The sequence below is a fragment of the Homo sapiens genome, chromosome X (assembly GCF_000001405.40).
Source record: "Homo sapiens chromosome X, GRCh38.p14 Primary Assembly".
Classification (NCBI taxonomy): domain Eukaryota; kingdom Metazoa; phylum Chordata; class Mammalia; order Primates; family Hominidae; genus Homo; species Homo sapiens.
Genome location: NC_000023.11, coordinates 140,667,294 through 140,689,559, shown reverse-complemented (window position 1 = coordinate 140,689,559; position 22,266 = coordinate 140,667,294). Strand labels below are relative to the sequence as shown.

Here is a 22,266-nt window from a genome sequence, read left to right as displayed (position 1 = left end):
GGTGGCTCACGCCTGTAATCCCAGCACTTTGGGAGGCCGAGGCTGGCAGATCACCTGAGGTCGGGAGTTCGAGACCAGCCTGACCAACATGGAGAAACCCCGTCTCTATTAAAAAATGCAAAATTAACCGGGCATGGTGGCGAATGCCTGTAATCCCAGCTACTCAGGAGGCTGAGGCAGGAGAATCGCTTGAACCCAGGAGGCGGAGGTTGCAGTGAGCTGAGATTGCGCCATTGCACTCCAGCCTGGGCAACAAGAGCAAAACTCCGTCTCAAAAAAAAAAAAAAAAAAAAAAAAAAGCAGCAAACAAAGACTCTAGTCAAAGAAAGGGAACTTTTAACAATAAAGCAGAACCCTGGTCCCGAGAGTAGTGAACCAAGGCAAGGGTTTCTGTTAATAACACAAGAACCAATGTAAGAGCTCAGTTAAAATAGCTAGGGTTTATGGTCAAAAGTAGGATTGTAATGAGACTAGCAGTATTGAGTATGGGTACAAAGGCCCCTCTAGTACTCTCTCTAGAGCCCATACTAGTCCCAGATTCTGGAGTAGGGCTAATCGCGTTTGTAGGAGGTTGTAGCCCAACTAGAGGGAGTAAAGAAATGAAAGATGCATAATTAACCTTACGGCAGAAAATTAACCCCAAAGAGGACCCTTTCATAGAAGTAAGAGAAACATTCTTAAAGACAGAATGGATAAGCTGGACAGGGAGGTTGAAACATTACTGCAAGAATTTCCTTATCAGTCACACAAGGGGGCCAGACTTCAAAAACTATGCTTCAAAATCACCATGAGAAATTTTAAAATCAGGGATTAGGACGTAGAGGCAGGTTTGGAAGTCACTAGACTGGAAGAATGCCAACATTTTATTATCTGAAATGAGCTATTGAATATATCACAAATATTGCATTAATTATGTTATCTCAAGCCGAATTACTTCCTAAAGCCCCCATTTTGGGATTATTCAATTTGTCTCCCAGAGGAAACTGGGAGATAGCCGATTGGGTCTAAGTCTCTGAATATTATCCTAGAGGATTGAGGTGTACTCAGTTGTTGATTTATTGAATAAATTGATACAGATGTTATCATAAATAATATCTGGCATTTTTATATAGAGATATATAGTTTTTGATATATTTATTATCTGGTATATATAATCATATATAATAACTGAAATTTGTTCAGTGACAGTTACTGGTATATGGACACTGATTGTCTTATTTAACCATCACAGTAACCCTATGAGAGAAGTACTATTTATTATCCCCATTTCACAGATGAGAAAGCCGAGGTTCAGTGTGCAAGTAACTTTCTTGAAATCAACAACTAGTAAGCGAAGGAGCAGGATTAGAATCCAGGCATTTTGACCACAGAATCCCTCCTATTTATATTCTACTGCCTTCTCTATTTCCTTCTGGTGATGTGTGCCACTCTGAATTAGGTGACTGCCTTCTGTTACTGAACCACAACCTCCCTGAGGACAGGGACCTAGTATCATTCACCCCTAACTCCACAGGCCAACTACAATCCCTAAGCAACCATCTAGGCCCACCTCCTCGTTCTCTTAGTTACTCCATTAGCTGGCTTGGTTCTAAGACCAAGCCGTCATCATTATGATGACAATCATTATCATCATTATGATGACGATCATTATCATCATTATGATGACGTATGCTGACTTCATATTGGTGGTTTCACTTCATAATCCTGAAAGGAGATCATTTTCATTCGAAGGAGAGAGAAAGGGCAGATAATTGGACTAGAGTTAAACTTCTCCTTTTGTCCATAGGACAAAAAAAATATTTAAATAATAAACAAAATTCCAATGTTCTTTTATTTTCTTATTTTTGTATTTTTAGTGGAATACCAACTTCATGTACACTTGGCTTATTCAGGTGAGTGAAATTCAACAGGACAACTAACAGGCTTAAAGAATAACATTAAGCATTGGGGAAGCAAAAGTTGTTCCTGGGGGTAATTATATTTCACTGTTAAGTATTCTCAAGACAGTAAGTTCTCAAAAATATTTTGCAGCACCCATAAAATTCAATGGACCACCATCCGGACAAAAGGATAAAAACAGAACACATCAAGATAATGAATTTTCTTCAAACTACTGAGGTAAATTAATGCATTCTTCACATTCAGTGAGATTACAGTTATTTCAAAAGATAGGTTAGGGCTTCTTTTGTATGCTGTGTGATTCTGTCTTTGTTTATAGGTTAACAGCACTGTACATAAAATACAATAATTGGATGGGTATTTGCTAGGTATTAAATACTGTAATCTTTCATGTCTATAAACTGACCATTCTCTTTAGGGATTCCTGCTTTGTTCTCTTTCACTTGTTTTTGCTTAACACCCAAAAAAAAACTTGATTACAAGCAGATTATATGAACATAGCTGTATGACTTTAATTGTAATTTGACGTATGTGTTTTATGTGTTTTAATTGGCAGGGAATATTAGTTCAGACATAGACAATTTGCAAATGTACAGCTTTCTTTGTTTTAAATTTTACTTTAAGTTCTGGGATACATGTGGTGAACATGCAGGTTTGTTACATAGGTATACATGTGCCATGGTGGTTTGCTGCACCCATCAACCCGTCATCTAGGTTTTAAGCCCCACATGCATTAAGTATTTGTCCTAATGCTTTCCCTCCCCTTTCTCCACATCTCCTGACAGGCCCCAGTGTGTGATGTTTCCCTCCCTGTGCCCATGTGTTCTCATTGTTCAACTTCCACTTATGGGTGAGAACATGCAGTGTTTGGTTTTCTGTTCCTGTGTTAGTTTGCTGAGAATGATGGCTTCTAGCTTCATCCATGTACCTGCAAAGAACATGACTCATTCTTTTCTTTTCTTTTTTTTTTTTTTTTGAGACTGAGTCTTGCTCTGTTGCCCAGGCTGGAGTGTAGTGGTGCGATCTTGGCTAACTGCAACCCCTGCCTCCCAGGTTCAAGCAATTATCTGCCTCAGCCTCCGAGTAGCTGAGATTACAGGCGCCCACGACCATGCCCAGCTAATTTTTTTGCATTTTTAATAGAGACAGGGTTTCACCATCTTGACCAGGTTGGTCTTGAACTCCTGACCTCCTGATCCAACTGCCTCGTCCTCCCAAAGTGCTGGGACTACAGGTGTGAGCCACCATTCCCAGCCTTGAACTCATTCTTTTTTATGGCTGCATAGTATTCCATGGTGTATATGTACCACATTTTCTTTATCCAATCTATCATTGATGGGCATTAGGGTTGGTTCCAAGTCTTTGCTATTGTAAATAGTGTTGCAATAAACATACGTGTGCATGTGTCTGTATAGTAGAATGACTTACAATCCTTTGGGTAAATACCCAGTAATGCGGTTGCTGGGTCAAGTGGTATTTCTGATTCTAGATCCTTGAGGAATCACCGCACTGTCTTCCACATTAGTTGAACTAATTTACACTCCCACCAACAGTGTAAAAGCATTCCTATTTCTCCACAGCCTCTCCAGCATCTGTTGTTTCTTCGAAGTTATTTGTCTTCTGCTTTGCATTTTTAGGTTTTTATTTGTTTGCTTTGTTTTGTTCTTTTTTTAGAGACAGGTTCTTGCTGCTGCTTAGGCTGGACTCAAACTCCTGGGTTCAAATGCTCGTCCTGCCTCAGCCTCCCAAGTAACTGGGACTACAAGGAATAGCTGGGACTATAGGCAGGCACTACCGTGCTTGCTGCTTTTTTGTTTGAATGCTAGTTGGTATTTTGTTTATTTCAAAAGACAGGAGTCAACACCTGATAATTGGAAAAGTCAGGAAAGAGATCTTTGTTGGAGTTATGTGGTATGCAAAATGATTCAATTTATTACAAAGAAGGTGAAATCTACACAATATATCATTTAATTAGTGACACTCCTGATCCCTCCCTGACACTGGCTTTCTGACCTTCTGATGAAAACACAAGCTTCCCTCCAGGTCCTCAACCCAGGAAGATGTTTCCCAATGTATACTATAACAGGAGCAGACCAGAAATCAAATTGAATCAATTGCTAATGTTCCATATTACTGATGATAAACATTCAATATGAATATTCCCTCATAATTTTGCAAGTGCAGCAAAACTATTCTACTGAACATTGGAATGCATTACATTATGTTTATTAGCATTTAGCATTTTTGCTATTTGAAAACGACATTATAGGATCCTTGTATAATACCAAATTATTTCCTTATCTTCCTGAATCTATCTCTATCCTTTGTCTACTCTCTGATTTCCCTCAACAGACTTCTAACTGGGATCCCTGCATCCAGCCATTTTATACAATTCCTGGAGCAGTACAGAAGGTGGAAGACCTGGAGGATGGGTGGGGAACCATAGCCATTGCCATGGGCATTGGGCTACATGACTCCAAGAGGGACCTGTGTGGCCACCACTAGCATACACAGAGCACATTTATGCAAATTAGAGAGAGGTGCTCCCTCTCAACAGATAGATTGGAAAACGACACCTCTCTGGATTAACAGATCAGTAAAGCACTCACTCTCTCTTGTGGGACGTATTAGGAATGAGAACCCTCTGTGGGCTTACATAGCTCTGTGGGCTCATGGCATAGCAAACACAATACAGACTTAATTCCAGGCCTTACTGCCTGCTCTTACCCACCAGGTACCTTTGTGCAATGCAAATTGTGCAATCATATGCAGCACTACTGTGAGCAGCACTTCCGGCATTTTTTTCTTCTGTCTTGGCTTTCTCTGCTGGAACCCTATAAGGCTACTTGATTCAGAGTTCTTTGGGCCAGTGGGACACAACTGTGTCTTGCAAGGTTTCTCTCTTCCTAGATTGGACCCTTTTTCTTTTTCTTTTATATGTTTACTAAATGCCCGCTATGAGCAAGCCACTGCTCCTAATCCATTCTCGCTCACTGTAAAACACGTGGGTTTATTCATCTTTCTAAAGTTCAGGTATGAATGTTTCATCACTTGCCTGCTTCAAAATCTTTGTCCTTCCCAAGCATCGAGCACAGAGCTTGAATCCTGGCCACATGTCAGAAGTTGTGGATTGTGGTCCTTATTCTAACACTAACTTGTTTCTTGAGATCCTAGACAAAATCTAAAAACTCTTCTTAATCCTCTTCTAAGAACTTTTGACTCCAAAGTTTCTGTGATCCTGGGCTCTGGGTACCAGTGTAGGTCTAGTCATGGAGGCAGAAAATAGAATACTTTACCTCATCAGATTGAGAAGTGGTTCCCTAGAAAATCCAGTTTTCATCTATAACCTCTGACTCTTAATCATATGAAAAGATGCTTATCTCAGGCATAATAAGACATATACAAACTAAAGGTAAACTGAAGCACTGATTCTCAGCTATCATATTGAAAAAGGTCAGTATGTTTGATAATATACTGTGCTGTAACAGTAATGGGGAAATGTAAGTTCGTATATTATTTGTAGGAGTATAATTTTTATTTTTTTATATATTTTTTGAGACAAAGTCTCACTCTGTCACCTAGGCTGGAGTGCAGTGGCGCAATCTCAGCTCACTGCAACCTCTGCTTTCCAGGTTCAGGCGACTCTCCTGCCTCAGACTCCCAAGTAGCTGGGATTACAAGAACCTGTCACCATGTCTGGCTAGTTTTTGTATTTTTAGTAGAGACGGGGTTTCATTTTGTTTGCCAGGCTGATCTTGAGCTCCTGACCTCAAGTGATCCACCCGCCTTGGCCTCCCAAAGTGCTGGGATTACAGGAATGAGCCACTGTGCCTGGCCATAAGTATAATTTTTATAGAGGTAATTTGTCAACATCTATCAACAGAAAGAAATAATTTTTGTAGCAGTAACTTGTCAATAGCTATCAAAAGAAGGGAATCTGTATACAGTTTTTTACCCAGCAATTCAACTCTTAGGATGTTTTTCTTTAAAAACATATATATATACTATTTAATTTCCTGAGTCCATGTACACTCCCATTTTCCTAGAAGAATATCTCATATATTTTCCTCTCTTCTCAAATCCTTAACATAGTTTCCCACAGCCTCACTCTCAGATGATGATCTTGTTTCTTCTTTCACTGAGAAAATACAAGTAATCTACTGGGGGAACCCACCCCCAATATTTCAACATAGGTTCTTTCTATTTTCCATAAGTGTCGGCCGGCTGAGAAATAAAGAGAGACAGTATAAAGAGGGGAATTTTACAGCTGGGCCGCCGGGGGTGACATCACATATCGGTAGGACCGTGATGCCCACCTAAGTCTCAGACCAGCAAATTTTTATTAAGGGTTTCAAAAGGGGAGGGGGTGTAAGAACAGGAAGTAGGTACAAAGATCACATGCTTCAAAGGGCAAAAAGCAGAACTACTAATAAGGGTCTAACAAAGATCACAGGGCAAAGAGCAAAAGCAGAACACTGATGAGGGTCTATGTTCAGCGGTGCACGTATTGTCTTGATAAACATCTTAAACAAAAGAAAAGAGGGTTCGAGAGCAGAGAACCGGTCTGACCACAAATTTACCAGGGCAACGTTTTTCTCCACCCTAGTAAGCCTGAGGATACTGCAGGGTGTATCTCAGTCCTTGTCTCAACTGCACAAGACAGATATTCCCAGAGCGGCTGTTTATAGACCTTCCCCCAGGAATGCATTCCTTTCCCAGGGTATTAGTAGTAATATTCCTTGCTAGAAAGGAATTTAGCAATATCTTCCCTACTTGCACACCCATTTATAGGCTCTCTGTGAGAAGAAAAATACGGCTCTTTTTGCCCGACCCCACAGGCAGTCAGACCTTATGGTTGTCTTCCCTTGTTCCCTAAAAATCACTATTATTCTGTTCTTTTTCAAGGTGCACTGATTTCATATTGTTCAAACACACATGTTGTACAATCAATTTGTACAATTAACACAATTATCACAGTGGTCCTGAGGTGATGTATATCCTCAGCTTATGAAGATAACAGGATTAAGAGATTAAAGTAAAGACAGGCATAAGAAATTATAAAAGTATTATTTGGGAACTGATAAATGTCCATGAAATCTTCACAATTTATGTTCCTCCACTGCAGCTCCAGCCGGTCCCTCCATTCAGGGTCCCTGACTTCCCGCAACAGTAATCAAAAGGGAACTTCCATAAACTTCCATCACTCCATTTGACTTGCATCTGTACATATTCTCTGCCTTCCCTCCTGTTGTTATAGATGAACTGTACATGTTTAGGCCAACCCCTTCACCTATGCACAACATTTTGTCCACCAACACCAACTCAAGGATATCCCTCCTATTATTCTTTTCCTTTCATGAATCATGATGTTTTTACCTCTCTACTAGTTCATTGCCTTTAGCATAAAAGCATGCTGTCATTTCTCCCATCTTCCTCCCTCAGCTCTCTCCAGCTATTGCTCCATTCCCAGTAAATTTCTTGTCCCTTTACAGTAAAGCTCCTCAAAACAGCTGCTAAAACTCACGGTTTCCAGGTCCTTTCCTCTTCTTTTCTCTTGAATACATTCCAACCAGGCTTGTATTCTCACAACTCCACCAAAACTTTCCTTACCAATATTTCCAATTACCTCCACATTGCCATTTCATAGTTAATTCTCAGTCCTAATCTTACCTGAACCACATTTTTTCTAACATTTTTTTCTGAGATGGAGTCTCGCTCTGTTGCCCAGGCTGGAGTGCAGTGGTGCAATCTTGGCTCACTGCAACCTCCGCCTCCCAGGTTCAAGCAATTCTCCTGCCTCAGACTCCTGAGTAGCTGGGATTACAGGTGCTCGCCACCACACCCAGCTAATTTTTTGTATTTTTAATAGAGATGGGGTTTCACCATGTTAGCCAGGCTGGTTTCAAACTCCTGACCTCAAGTGATCCGACTGCCTCAGCCTCCCAAAGTGCTAGGATTACAGGTGTAAGCCATCACACCCAGCCTTTTCTAACATTTTTAATGACAATTTTTAAATATACAGAAAAATTAAAAGAATTGTACACCAACACACCCATCACCTAGATCCTGAAATTAAACATTTTAGTATATTTGCTTTGTGTAGCCCATGTTATTTTTATCATGCCATTCTCTCTTTCTGTTTGATGTCATGCACCTCAGGGTTTTTTTCAGCTCTAGTAGGCTAAGCTAGCTCATCCTTTACCAATGAAGAGACAGAACGAGAGGGAAGGCGAAGGGTGGGGCTAATGACAGCCAACCCAAATTAACAGATTTAAGGAATGAATAATATATTTATGTCACCTCTTGCACTTTTATTTAATTTATGCCAACTATAACTTTTTTATTGTTTTATTCCAGGTACAATGAAAAATGGAAATATTATCTCAGAAATTACAACAGAGGGATGAAGATATAGCATATGCTGTACCTAAAAGATACATCAAATGGGACATTGGGAATATGGATTGATGAAATTTAATTTGCGATTGTCCTATAATGCCTTTTCATTACAGTACCACACAAATTGAGGCAATAAATGTATATTTGATCAAAAAAGTATGGCCACTCGTCTTTTAACCAAATAGATTGCAAATGTCATTAGAATTCAGATTCTACGAGGCAGGAAAGAAGTGTTTTGGCTAGAGACAAGGGCAGATGGAATAAGAGAGCCAGGCATTCAGCAGGAATTTAATTTGTATTGGCTTAGACAAGGCTGTGCAATCTAGTTTCCTTTCTATATTTATTTAAAGTGATATATCTTCTTTCAGTATATCTGATTTTCTAATAACTGTAGGACTAACAAATGTTACTGATAGACAAAGTTAAAATAAAATCATCATGGGGACTTCATTTTTAGCAGTGATTGCACATAGACAACCCCTTCCTTAAGTAATTTTAATTGTATATATAGCCAGCCACCGCATTTCCCTGAAACATGGAATGATTATTTTTTGGCAACATGTAGGTACAGTCATGTATCATATAATGACATTTCAGTCAATGGCAGACTACATATAGAACAGTGATTCCATAAGATTATAATAACATATTTTTACAGTACCTTTTTCTTTTCCTTTCTTTCTTTCTTTTTTTTTTTTTTTTTTTTTTGAGACAGAGCCTCACTTTGTTGTCCAGGCTGGAGTGCAGTGGCGCCATCTCAGTTCACTGCAAACTCTGCCTCCTGGATTCAAGTGATTCTCCTGCCTCAGCCTCCCGAGTAGCTGGGATTACAGGCACCCGCCACCATGCCTGGCTAATTTTTGTATTTTTAGTAGAAATGGGGTTTGACTAGGTTGGCCAGTCTGGTCTCCAACCCCTGGCCTCAAGTGATCTGTCCACCTCGGCCTCCCAAAGTACTGGGATTACAGGCATGAGCCACATCACCCAGCCTACAGTACCTTTTTTATGTTTAGATACACAAATATGTATCATCATGTTACAACTGCCTCCAGTATTCAGTACAGTCACACACTATACAGGTGTGTAGCCTAGGAACAATAGGCTACACCATATAGCCTAGGTGTGTAGTAGGCTATACCACCTAAGTTTGTATAAGTACATTATGATGTTAACATAACAATGAAATCACTTCATGCATTTCTCACAAGCGTCTCCCCGTCAAATGACTGTATATACTAAACAGCATACATTATCCATTAAGTAACCAACTACACCTCAACTAAGGTCTTATTTATTGTCAAATAATGCTGATAATGATGATAACAATCACTAAATTATTATAGTAAAATAAGTGTTTCAGATCAGTGTTTTTCAAAATGTGGGGATTTACTCCTGAGTTGCACCATGATATCAGTTTTTCAAAAATAAATCAGAACTTAATATAACTGAGAATAGAAAACATTTTGGTGCATCGCATGTAATATATGCTTTGTAAAACTTTTCAATTACACACACACCAATACAAATATTTGGTTGTGATGCCAAATGTATTTGGTCAAAAGTTTGAAAGCCACTGTTTAAGTTGCTGGCCATCACCCCAACATCCCACCTGAAATACAGTGCCATAAAAGAAACATACTCCAGCTGAAGTCTTAGCAGTACAGAGCAGAGAAGGACAACTACCTCTCTTTTGCCCTAGACTCCTATCCTCATCAGCTCAGCCTGTGACAATGTCATGTTTTTGTTGTTGTTGTTGCATATAGATCACGCTGTTTGCACATATCAAGCTGGTGGTGAAGCTCAATTTGTTTCAAAAGGTACTATCACCCTGAAATTATATGAGACAGAGTGAGCCACAAAGTATCATCATATTATTAGCAGAAAAGGTAGACTGTGAACAAGACCCACATAAGTTTCTTATACTCCTTATTCATATATATAACATCATGACCAGTTTGAAGAAGTACAAACTTATTTTTTTATTATTATACCTTAAGTTCTAAGGTACATGTGCACAACGTGCAGGTTTGTTACATATGTATACATGTGCCATGTTGGTGTGCTGCACCCATTAACTCGTCATTTACATTAGGTATTTCTCATAATGCTATCCCTCCCTCCTCCCCCGACCCCCGACAGGCCCTGGTGTGTGATGTTCCCCACCCTGTGTCCAAGTGTTCTCACTGTTCAATTCTCACCTATGAATGAGAACATGCAGTGTTTGGTTTTCTGTCCTTGCGATAGTTAGCTCAGAGTGATGGTTTCCAGCTTTATTCATGTCCCTACGAAGGACATGAACTCATCCTTTTTTATGGCTGCATAGTATTCCATGGTGTATATGTGCCACATTTTCTTAATGCAGTATATCATTGGTGGACATCTGGGTTGGTTCCAAGTCTTTGCTATTGTGAATAGTGCTGCAATAAATATACGTGTGCATGTGTCTTGATAGCAGAATGATTTATAATCCTTTGGGTATATACCCAGTAATGGGATGGCTGGGTCAAATGGTATTTCTAGTTCTAGATCCTTGAGGAATCGCCACACTGTCTTGCACAATGGTTGAAGTAGTTTACAGTTCCACCAACAGTGTAAAAGTGTTCCTATTTCTCCACATCCTCTCCAGCACCTGTCGTTTCCTGACTTTTTAATGGTCGCCATTCTAACTGGTGTGAGATGGTATCTCATTGTGGTTTTGATTTGCATTTCTCTGATGGCCGGTGATGGTGAGCATTTTTTCATGTGTCTGTTGGCTGCATCAATGTCTGAAGAAGTACAAACTTATTTGTTCTACTAAAATTAAGTTAAAAAAAGGAGTATAGGCTGGGCGTGGTGGCTCACACCTGTAATCCCAGCATTTTAGGAGGCCAAGGTGGACAGATCACCTGAGGTCAGGAGTTTGAGACCAGCCTGGCCAACATGGTGAAACCCTGTCTCTACTAAAAGTACAAAAAAAGTAGCCAGGTGTGGTGGTGCCTGTCTGTAATCCCAGCTACTTGGGAAGCTGAGGCAGGAGAATCACTGGAACCCAGGAGGTGGAGGTTGCAGTGAGCTGAGATCACGCCATTGCATTCCAGCTTGGGTGACAGAGGGAGACTCCGTCTCAAAAAGGGAAAAAAAAAAAAAAAAAGAGAGAGAGAGAGTATATTGCCATGTAAGTGTATTTTCAGGTAGCCATTTTAGGATTACTTTGTCATAAGCAAATGTAGGCAAAATAAGATGGAAAACAAAAATCAAAGGAATCTTGCTGCTGAGAAGAGATAACTAGAATGTTTGTCTCTGGATTACCTAGCTTGGTTATTTAGATATCTGGGTTAACTAAATCTACATTGATCCAATTTAGTCAAAGCTGCAATTATTTGTGTATCTCATTAGTACATATAAATATCAACACAAGCATAAAGTTTCCAAAGTAATTATCTAAAAATTAAATAGACTATCCCTCTGAAGATTCACTGCTCAATTAAAGAATTGAGTTAAGGTAATCTCTCATGGTTTTCATATTTGGCTTACCCAATTTCTTGAGCATCTTTAATAATGTTTAGTACAGGCCAAATTCTTCCCAAGCAACCAATATGCTTCTGAAGTGCCCTCTCTCTTCTCATCTCTGGCTCTTTGAATACAAATAAGCTAAGTCAAAAAATTACTTTTCATTACATAAGTCGAAGAGAATTAAGAAAGTCAGTAGGTTAGGAAAAAGTAAAATTTTCTATTATACATTTTCACATCAAAGAGAAACAGCTGTTGGATGATCCACTCTTTGGTATTATCAGAGACATGCCTTTCTTACTTATCAACACAGAAATTTGATGGCGGATCACCTGAGGTTGGGAGTTTGAGACCAGCCTGGACAAACATGGTGAAACCCCATCTCTACTAAAAATACAAAAATTTGCCAGGTGTGGTGGCAGGCACCTGTAATCCCAGCTACTTGGGAGGCTGAGGCAGGAGAATCGCTTGAAGCAAGGAGGCAGAGGTTATGGTGAGCTGAGACTGGGCCACTGCACTCCAGCCTGGGTGACAGAGTATAACTTTGTCTCAAAAAAAAAAAAAAAAAAAAAAAGAAAGAAATCTGAGACCTGACTATAATGGTTTAAAGGTCCATTTCTGCCTTTCTCTCCCTCTAACCCCAACTCACAAGAGACTCATGCAAATGGTTTTATAGCTTTCCAATAAAATAGTCACACGATTAAGACATGATAGTTCTCGGTTACAGTTTATTCTTATATTCATATATGTTAATATGTCTAGTTGTCTGGAACAGTTTGAGAAAAGATCTCAATTAGCTGTATCGAAATGTTAAAATACTATTATTAGTAGTGGGAGAAGTTAGCTAGGAGGACAAAACTGTGCCCACAGAACTTAAAAAGCTACTAGAAATGTTCTTTTTCTCAGGTAGGAAATCTACCAGTTCAATTTGTCAGATCCCCGGTTACAAGAAAGCTAAATGGGACTTAATGCAGTTAGAGGTAGAGGTAATAAAGATTAACATCAAGGCTACAGCCACAGAAATGAAGCAGTTTTCATCAAGTTATGCTCAGAGACAGCTTATTTGGTTGCTTGCTTCATTTTTGCAGGGAAATTCCGAGCATCTAAAGCAGAGTTCGCTGAACTGTTTTCTTAGGCAAAGCATTTCCGATAGACATACACATTGATGTGGTGCTCTTCCTGCTGTTAGAACACAGATGGTACCTCTTCCACCCATGCCAACTGCCTCAATCTGATATAAAAAACATGATTCAAGCCCACTTAAGTGTATCCTTGAACAAACATTAGAGAATATTAGGGAAAACATTCATCCCCAGTGAAATATCCCTATATTGGAGACATGCCTGTGATTAAAAAATATTCTGCATGTAATAGTAATAAGAGTACAACATGTATGATCATATAAACCTGCTTTTGAAAGTTCTAATATTTCAGGATACTTGTTTCAGAAAATCTAAAGCGAAAACATTTCAATAGCAAAGTGCACTTTTAAGACACATTAATTAGGGCATGCATAGGTTATATCTTTGACAATCGAACACATACACAGAAAATCATTCAAAGGCATGGATAAAAGGCCCAAGAGACAAAGAGATAATAGACGTTTACTGAAGTAGATGGCCCTTGTCATACTCCATAGGAAATAAAAAATTTATATTGTTTCTAGCATAAGTTAAGAACTTATTTATACACTTAACAAATTTTTAGGAAAGTGGAAAATCGAATTTATTTATTTTTAATTTTTATTTTTTGTAGAGATGAGGTATTGCTGCCCAGGCTGGTCTCGAACTCTTGGCCTAAAGCAATTCTCTTGCCTCAGCCTCCCAAAATGCAGGGATTATAGGCATGAGCCACCATGCGCAGCCCCAATTTTAAAATTCAATTTTTATTTTTCTAACTTTCATTTGCTTTTCAGAGGTACATGTGCAGAATTGTTATAAAGGTAAATTGCATGTCACAGGGGTTTGGTCTACAGATTATTTCATCACCCAGGTAATACATATAGTACTTGATAGGTACTATACTTATTATACTTATTATACTTAGAGCCTCACTCTCTTCTCACCCTCCACCCCTAAGTAGGCTCTGGTAAGTGCCTACTGTTCCCTTCTTTGTGTCCATGTGCACTCAACTTTTAGCTCCCACTTATAAGTGACAACGTGCGGTATTTGATTTTCTGTTCTTGCATTAGTTTGCTTAGGATAATGGCCTCCAGCTTCATCCATGTTGCTGAAAAGGACATGATTTTGTTCTCTTTTATGACTGCATAGTATTTCATGGTGTATATGCACCACATTTTCTTTATCCAGTCTACTGTTGATGTGCATTTAGGTTGATTCCATGTCTTTGCTATGGTGAATATTGCTGCAATGAACATACACATGCATGTGTCCTTATGGTAGAACAATTTGTATTCCTTTGGGTATATAGGATTTTATATTCCTTTGAGTATATAGGATTGCTGGGTCGAATGGTAGTTATGTTTTATGTTCCTTGAGAAATCGCCAAACTGCTTTCCACAATGGCTGAATTAATTTACATTCCCATCAGCAATATATAAGCTCCCTTTTTTCCACACCCTCACCAGCATCTGTTAGTTTTTGACTTTTCAGTCATAGCCAGTCTGACTGGTGTGAGATGGTATCTCATTCTCGTTTTGTTTCACATTTCTCTAGTGACTAGGGAAGTTGAGCATAAAATTCTATTTTCAACATCCTTTTTAGACAATTGGCACATATTATTCCCTCAAAATTCCACTGTTCATATTTTTATATTTCCCTACTTTTATCTCGCCCTTTTTGTACTTGTTTTTACTCCTCAACAATTATTAGCTCAATCATATTTTGTATAAATGCTGGTAATAAAATAAAAAAGGAAGATCAGTATGGAAAAGAAGAGATTAAGTGAAAATGAGAAGTTGGAAAAGCTATTAAAGAAAAGAAAATAAAGAATACTTGTGGTAGCCATGAAATCTCCTCTTTTTTTTTCTGTGCCTCTCAGCATTCAAACTACGGGGAATATATTTCACTCACACAGCTGCTGGGCTCTGAAATCTATCACTGTATTTGCACTGAAGCCACACTTCTCATTACCTGCTCCTAGACAGTAACTGAATGAGGCAGGGATGTTACCAGCAGTGAATCCATATGGATCTGCAGCAACCTCAATTCTTGCCTCCTCAGAAGAAATAATTCGACCAAGGGGCATAAGGCAGAGGCAAGTTTTACAGCAGGAGTGAAAGTTTAATAAAAACCTTTGGAGTAGCAGTGAAAGGAAGTACACTTGAAAGAGGGCCAAGCAGGTGACTTGAGAGATCAAGTGCATGGCTTGACCTTTGACTTGGGGTTTTATTCACTGGGATTCTTCCAGGGTCTGCGTATCTTCTCCCCTGATTCTTCCCTTGGAATGGGCTGTCCGCATGCACAGTGGCCTGCCAGCACTTGGGAGGGGCCGCATGAGCAGTGTGTTTACTGGAGGTGTACACATGCCCACTTGAGGCATTCTTCCCTTACCAGTTGAATGTTCTTAGAAGAACGTCTTATGCCAGATAAACTTTGCCATTTTGCCTCTTAGTGCACATGCTTGAGCCCAACTGCCCAAATCCTGAGATCTTATTGGGAAGCTGCTGATCACCAGCTTCAGGCGTTTTCTATCTATTGGGAGACCGCCTTGCCCTGGTGCCAGCTGCGACCAATAATTATTTTAGAGAGTCAGCTTAACAACTGCCTGACCATCACCTGATGTTCACCTGACATTCCTGGTATAGGGAAGCCCTCTCCTGCCCTGCTCATGTCTGACTAGCTACCTACTGTGAGAGGGGTACTAATGCAAGTCATTCCTGGGAGAGGCAGGACTCCTCCGACACCTGGCTTTGGTTCAAGGATCCTTTGCACTGAGTCTCACATTCTTCCACTCAACCTTCTTCTCTTGCTCCTTCACAACGGTCAACCTGCATCATGATCTTTCAGCTCTGCCCACTTCTCTGGCAACCTTCACATTTTCCTTTATAGGTATTTTCCCTAATAACCCTCTTGCATGTCTAATCCCATTTTGGCATCTGCTTCTCGGGTACCTGAAATAGCACAAACGGTACCAAGAGTGGCAGGAGGGTGGAAAAAAGGCAGTAAAATGGGGACGTTAGACTGGCTCGCTCACTGCCCACGAGGGAAGAGGACACCATCCTGCATAGTAGATGGAACACGGGCACAAGGTGGTGGCTCAATTGCTACAGGTTTCCCCAGTGCTGACCTGGAAAATGTCCTAGTGGAGGGAAATGCTGTTGCAGGTGTGATGATTTAGGCATTTGCAAGATATGGGTATAATAATGCCTAAAAAAACAGAAGAGTTGGCTGGTTACTGATAAGCTATACATATGCGCTAAAGAGAGATAATGGGAGATTGTGGGCCTCTAACAAGCAGTTAATGGCTAAGTGTGATAACAACAAGGCCTTGGTAGTAGCTTACAAAGAGGCTCTTATCTCTTGCAGTGAAGAGCAAACAAAACTAAAGGCCTGATTGTTTGAGTTGCTGAGTCAGAGATATTTGAGTGATCAGCCAAGGCAAAATCAGCTATGTGAATGCTAGTACCCTGGGCAAGGAAGCCTGGTCCACTGATCTATGCAACGAGAAGATCTAAATAAAATCCCAGAAGATGTTGACTCTGCAGTCCTCTCCATCACCACCACCACCCCCAACCACACACACACCTTGAACACTCTGGGATTGCAGAGCTAGCCCCGCCTTCCTTAATAAGTGCCAGTGCTTTGGTTGTGCTTAGAAGGTGCTACAGAGGCTTCTCCCTTGCAAGAAAATGACGTCCCACTAAAGAACTGCCTTCACCTTCTCTCCTAACTGCCAGACCAATAACAAAGGTTAAATCCAAGCATCACCCAGATGAGGATGTGCTGGACCTGATAAGCAAACAACCTGGCTAGACACTAAACTGCAAAGATTAGCCTGTGTGTATCTTCAGGATCCAGGGGATCTATATGAGTATGCCTGGGATTGGATATTGAGACTGTTCTGGGAGCTAGAGTGTAAAATTGTATAATCAAGAGTTCATTGACCAGGGAGCACTTTCTTACCATGACATTGAACACCAACAAGAACCTCATGAGTGCAGGCATATATGTTACTGGGAGTATCTTAGAAGCCTGGAAAAAGCCATGGCCAATACTCGCCAATAAGGAAATACTTGAGTTGTCCTAACAGATGGCAGAGGTAGAAATAAAGGAACTGTGGGAGGGAGCAGGAATGTGAGAATGATAGAGTGAGGAGCTCAGCAAATCCCTTCCTCAAAGGCAATGATGACACTCAAAAAATTTTCAAAAACAGCTATTTCAGGACTCTGTCTATTGACCAGAGGCATCCCACAGATTGAAAAGCATTTACATAAGAAAAAGTACTGAACTTTGGCAAGAACAGGGGGGTCTCTGGTGTTGACCTCTCAACCACCCGGCTGCCATCACAGTAATTCTACCAGAGCAAGGCAAGCTGTGAAACCAGGAGCTCTACTGCCAGAGGGTACTGACTTGATTTGGAGTAGAGAAAAAGCTCCAAACCCAGGGGCATTGTCAAAAATAATGGCTTTCAGTGTCAGAGAAGGCCAATGTCGCAGCTGCTTGAGGCTGCAATACTGCTCGAGGTCATCAACAAAACAGCCCAAAATTTAACAGGAAAATAAGAGCCACAGTGGGCCTTGACAAGCTACCAGGTATCTCTGGTGATTTGGAAGGCTCTGCAAATGTGTAAGGCTGCTTCTACTTAGAAGAGACAGGAGAAGATCTCAGAGATCTACTAGTAGGCCTGATTGAATCTAAGATCTTGCACATGTGCAGAGAAGACAGGAGAAGACCCAGCAGAAAGTAAAACTTGGGGCCAACTTATAAACTGTCTGAATTTTGAAATTCTCCAATTTAGCTTCCAAACTGAATTTCATATATCAGTTTGCAAGGGTGGAAGCCTTACTGGCTCAAGTTGTTTAAGCAAACCTCTGAATAATAACTGGCTGTCCACTGTGCTTATTGATCCAGTCACAGTTCCTCGGGAGCCAAACTTAAAAAAAAAACTGTAAAACAAGAATTTAAACAATCAATAAAGACACTACAGAGAAGATAATCTCTTTAAAAATTAGTTCAGGCAAGTTACTAAACAAACTGAAAAGATAAGAAAAAGCAACAACAACATACTCCAAGGAGAATCTGTATTTCCCACAATATTATATCTAAATTGTCTAGTTTTCATCAAAATCTTACAGAACATAGAAAGGAAACAGAGAAGAGTGTCCCCATAAACAGGAAGAAAAGCAGTCTATAGAAAATGTGTCAAATAGGCCATGAAGTTGAACAAAACTTCAAAGCCATGGTTATAAATATTTTTATAAAAAATAAAAGGAAGCACTTCTTAAGAATTAATGAAAATATGAGTATAATAACTCATCCAATTAAAAATATCAATAGAGAGATATACATTTTCAAAAGAACCAAGTTGCAAAGTACAATAACTGAAGTAAATAATTTACTGGACATGTTCAATGGCAGATTTGAGATGGCAGAAGAAAGAATCTGCAAATCTAAAAGTAGATCAGTAGAGATTATCCAGTCTGAAGAACAGAAATAAGAATGAAGGAAAAAGAACACAGCCTTAGAGACCTGAGAGTCACTATCAAGCCACCAAAGTAGGTAGAAAGAGAGTCTCAGGAGAAGAGAAACTAGAAGAAAAATATATAAAGAAAGAATGGCTGAAAATCCCATATTTGCTGAAAAACATTAATCTGTATATGCAAAAATCTGAACGATCTCTAAATGGGATAAACACAGAGATCCACACCTAGATACTTCATAAGGAAAATGTTGAAAGCATTTTTTAAAAAACCTGATCATGGAAGAGAACTGTAATCTGATTACCAGTTGAATTTGCATCAAAAGCAATGGCAGACAGAAGGCAATGGGAGATATACTCAAATACCAGAAAGAAAGAAAGAAAAAAAAATCTCTGCCAAACAATAAGCATATATCCAGGAAAACTATCTTTCAAATATGGAGAAATAAAGATATTCCTAAAAGCACAAAGACTGAGAGAATTCATCACTAGCACATCTGACCAATGAGAAATACTAAGTAAGTCTCTCAAGCTGAAAGGAAGTAATGCCAGATGGTGAGTCGAATTCACATGAAAAAACAATTCTTCAGTAAAGGTAATGATGTAGGTAACTATAAAGACTGTATAAATACACCTTTCACTTTCTCTTACCTTATTTATGATACAATTGCATACAATAATAATCATCAAGTTATATGTCTGGGCTTATAACATATAAAGATGTAAGATATATGAAAATAATACCAAAAATGTGTAGTGAGGGAGTAGAACAATATTAAAGAAAATTTCTATATTTTACTGGAACTAAGTATTAATTGAATTAGGTTGTGATAAGATGCATACTCTAATGCCCAGAGAAACGATTAAGGAAATAATTATATATATATATATTTTAATCAACAAATGAATTGAAATGTTATACTAGAAAATATCTATCACAAAGTAGTAAAGGAGGAACAGAGAAATAAGACAAACATTTGACATAGAAAACAAGTAACAAAATGGCAGACGCAAGTTCAATCATATGAATAATTACATTAAATGTTAAAGGACTAAACATAAATCAAAAGGCAAACTCTCAGATTGAATTTAAAAAACACAATCCAACTCTGGGCTGTTCATAAGAAACACTTTTTTTTTTTTTTTTTTTTTTTTTAAAGACAGAGTCACTCTGTTGCCCAGGCTGGAGTGTAAATGGCGCAATCTCAGCTCACCGCAACCTCCGCCTCCCAGGTTCAAACGATTCTCCTGCCTCAGCCTCCCGAGTAGCTGAGATTACAGGCACCTGCCACCACACCTGGCTAATTTTTGTAGTTTTAGTAGAAATGAGGTTTCACCATGTTGGCCAGGCTGGTCTCTAACTCCTGACCTCAGGTGATCTGCCCACCTCCGCCTCCTAAAGTGCTGGGGTTACAGGTGTGAGCCACTGCACCAGGCCAAGAAACACACTTTTGATTGTAGTAAATTTAATACAAAAATTACTAGAGACAAAGGAATGTTTTGTGATAATAAAATGTCAATTCATCGGGAAGCTGTAACAATGAAAAATACACGCTTAATAACACAATTCCAAAATACTTGAAAAAAAAGCTGACAGAATTGAAGGGAAAAACAGACAATTCAACAGTAATAGTCAGAGACTTTAATATCCTCTTCTCAATAATTGCTGCACAGAAAATCAGCCAGTATATAGAAGACTAGAACAAAACTATTGACAAGCTAAACCTGGCATCTATAGAACCCCCTAGGCACCAACAGCAGAACACACATTTCAAGGGCACATGGTGCATCCTCCAGGACAGGTCATGCAGGAAATCTCAATAAATTTAAAAGGACTGAAATTATACAAAGTATGTTCTCGAATCAAAATGGAATTAAATGAGAAATCAACAACAGAAGGAAATTTGGGAAATTGCCAAATATGTGGAAAATGAATAATGCACCTACAAATAACTCACGGGTCAAATGTCAAATAACAAATCACAAGGGAACATTGGGTATATTTTGAATTGGACAAGAACAAAAATACAACATAGCAAATGTATGGGATGTAGTAAAGTAGTGCTTAGAGGGTAATCTATAGCTCAGAGCATCTGTATTAGAAAAGGAAACATCTCAAGCTATCAACCTAACTTCATCTTAAGAAAACTAGAAAAAGAGCAAACTAAACACAAAGAATGCAGTACGAAGAAAATAATAAAGATAAAAGTGGAGATCAGTAAACTAGAAAGAGAAAAATAAATACAATGAATGAAATCAAAATTGGTTCTTTGAAATGATTGAATAATAAATGACAACCTTTAGCAAAACCAACCTAGTCAAAAAGAACACATGGATTACCAGTCAGGAATGAAAGAGGAGACATCATCACTTAGCTTCCAAAAATTAAAAGGGTAGGTCGGGCTCAGTGGCTCTCACCTCTAATCCCAGCACTTTGGGAGGCCAACGCCGGAGGATTACTTGAGCCCAGGAGTTCGAGACCAGCCTGGGCAACATGGCGAAACCCTGTCTCTGCAACAAAATACAAAAATTAGTTGGGTGTGATGACACATGCTTGTGGTCCTAGCTACTTGGGCAGCTGAGGTAGGAGGATCCCTTGAACCAAGGAGGCAGAGGTTGCAATGAGCACAGATCTTACCACTGCACTCCAGCCTGGGTGACAGAGTGAGACTCTGTCTCAAGAAATAAATAATTTTTTAAAAAATTAAAAGGATTGGCTGGGCACAGTGGCTCATGCCTGTAATCCCAGCACTTTGGGAGGCCAAGGCGGGTGAATCAGCTGAAGTTGGGAGTTTGAGACCAGCCTGGCCAACATAGTGAAACCTCGTCTCTACTAGAAATACAAAAATTAGCCGGGTGTGGTAGTGGGAGCCTGTAATCCCTGCTACTCGGGAGGCTGAGGCAGGATAATCACTTGAATTCGGGAGGTGGAGATTGCAGTGAGCAGAGATCACACTACTGCACTCCAGCCTGGGCAGCAGAGCAAAACTCCATCTCAAAAAAAAAAATAAAAAATAAAAAATTGAAAGGATTATGAGGGAATACTATGAACAACTGTGTCCAAACAAATTAGAAAACAAAAAGGAAAAATTGGTAGGGGCAGTGGCTCATGCCTGTAATCCCAGCATTTTGGGTGGCTGAGGCAGGAGGATCACTTGAGCCCAGTGGTAAGACACCAGCCTCGGCAACATGGCAAAAACCTGTCTCTACAAAAAATACAAAAATTATCCAGGCATGTTGGTGTATGTCAGTAGCCCCAGCTACTTGGGAGGCTGAGGTTGGAGGATTGCTCGAGCCTGGGAGGCTGAGGTTGCAGTGAGCCAAGATTGTGCCACTGCACCCTGGCCTGGGTGATGGAGTGAGACCCTGTCTCAAAAATTAAAAAGGGAAAAATTCCTAGAAAAATTCGAACTACTGGAATTGACTAAAATAAAAATAGAAAATCTGAATTGACCTATAGCCAGTAATGAGATTGAATTAGTAATTTTAAAACCTCCCACAAAGAGAAGTCCAGGTCCGAATGACTCCACTTGGGAACTGTGCCAAACATCTGAAGAGGAATTAGCATTAATTATACACAAACTCTTCCAAAAAATGGAGGAAGAGGGAATATTTCCTAACACATTCTATGAGGCTAGTATTACTCTGATACCAAAACCAAAAGCATTATAAGAAAATAGTACTGCAGACCAATATAATTTATGAATATAGACACAAAATTCTCAATGAAATACTCCAGTGAGTAGCAGCACACAAAAAGGACATAGCCAATAGAATTTATCACAGAAATGCAAAGTTGGTTCAAAAATACAAAAATCAGTCATTGTAATACACCATATTAGTTGAATAAAGAAAAAAATGCTCATATCAATAGACATA

The 22,266-nt window shown here is 39.4% G+C and overlaps 1 long non-coding RNA gene across 1 annotated transcript; it reads left to right on the top strand.

Annotated features, from left to right (window-relative positions):
• Positions 1–1,750: 1,750 nt before the first annotated feature.
• LOC101928833 (uncharacterized) lies at positions 1,751–8,454 on the top strand. The gene is made up of 3 exons (XR_244544.6): positions 1,751–1,892; positions 2,032–2,118; positions 8,257–8,454. It is a non-coding gene; the product is annotated as an uncharacterized LOC101928833 (long non-coding RNA).
• Positions 8,455–22,266: the final 13,812 nt, after the last annotated feature.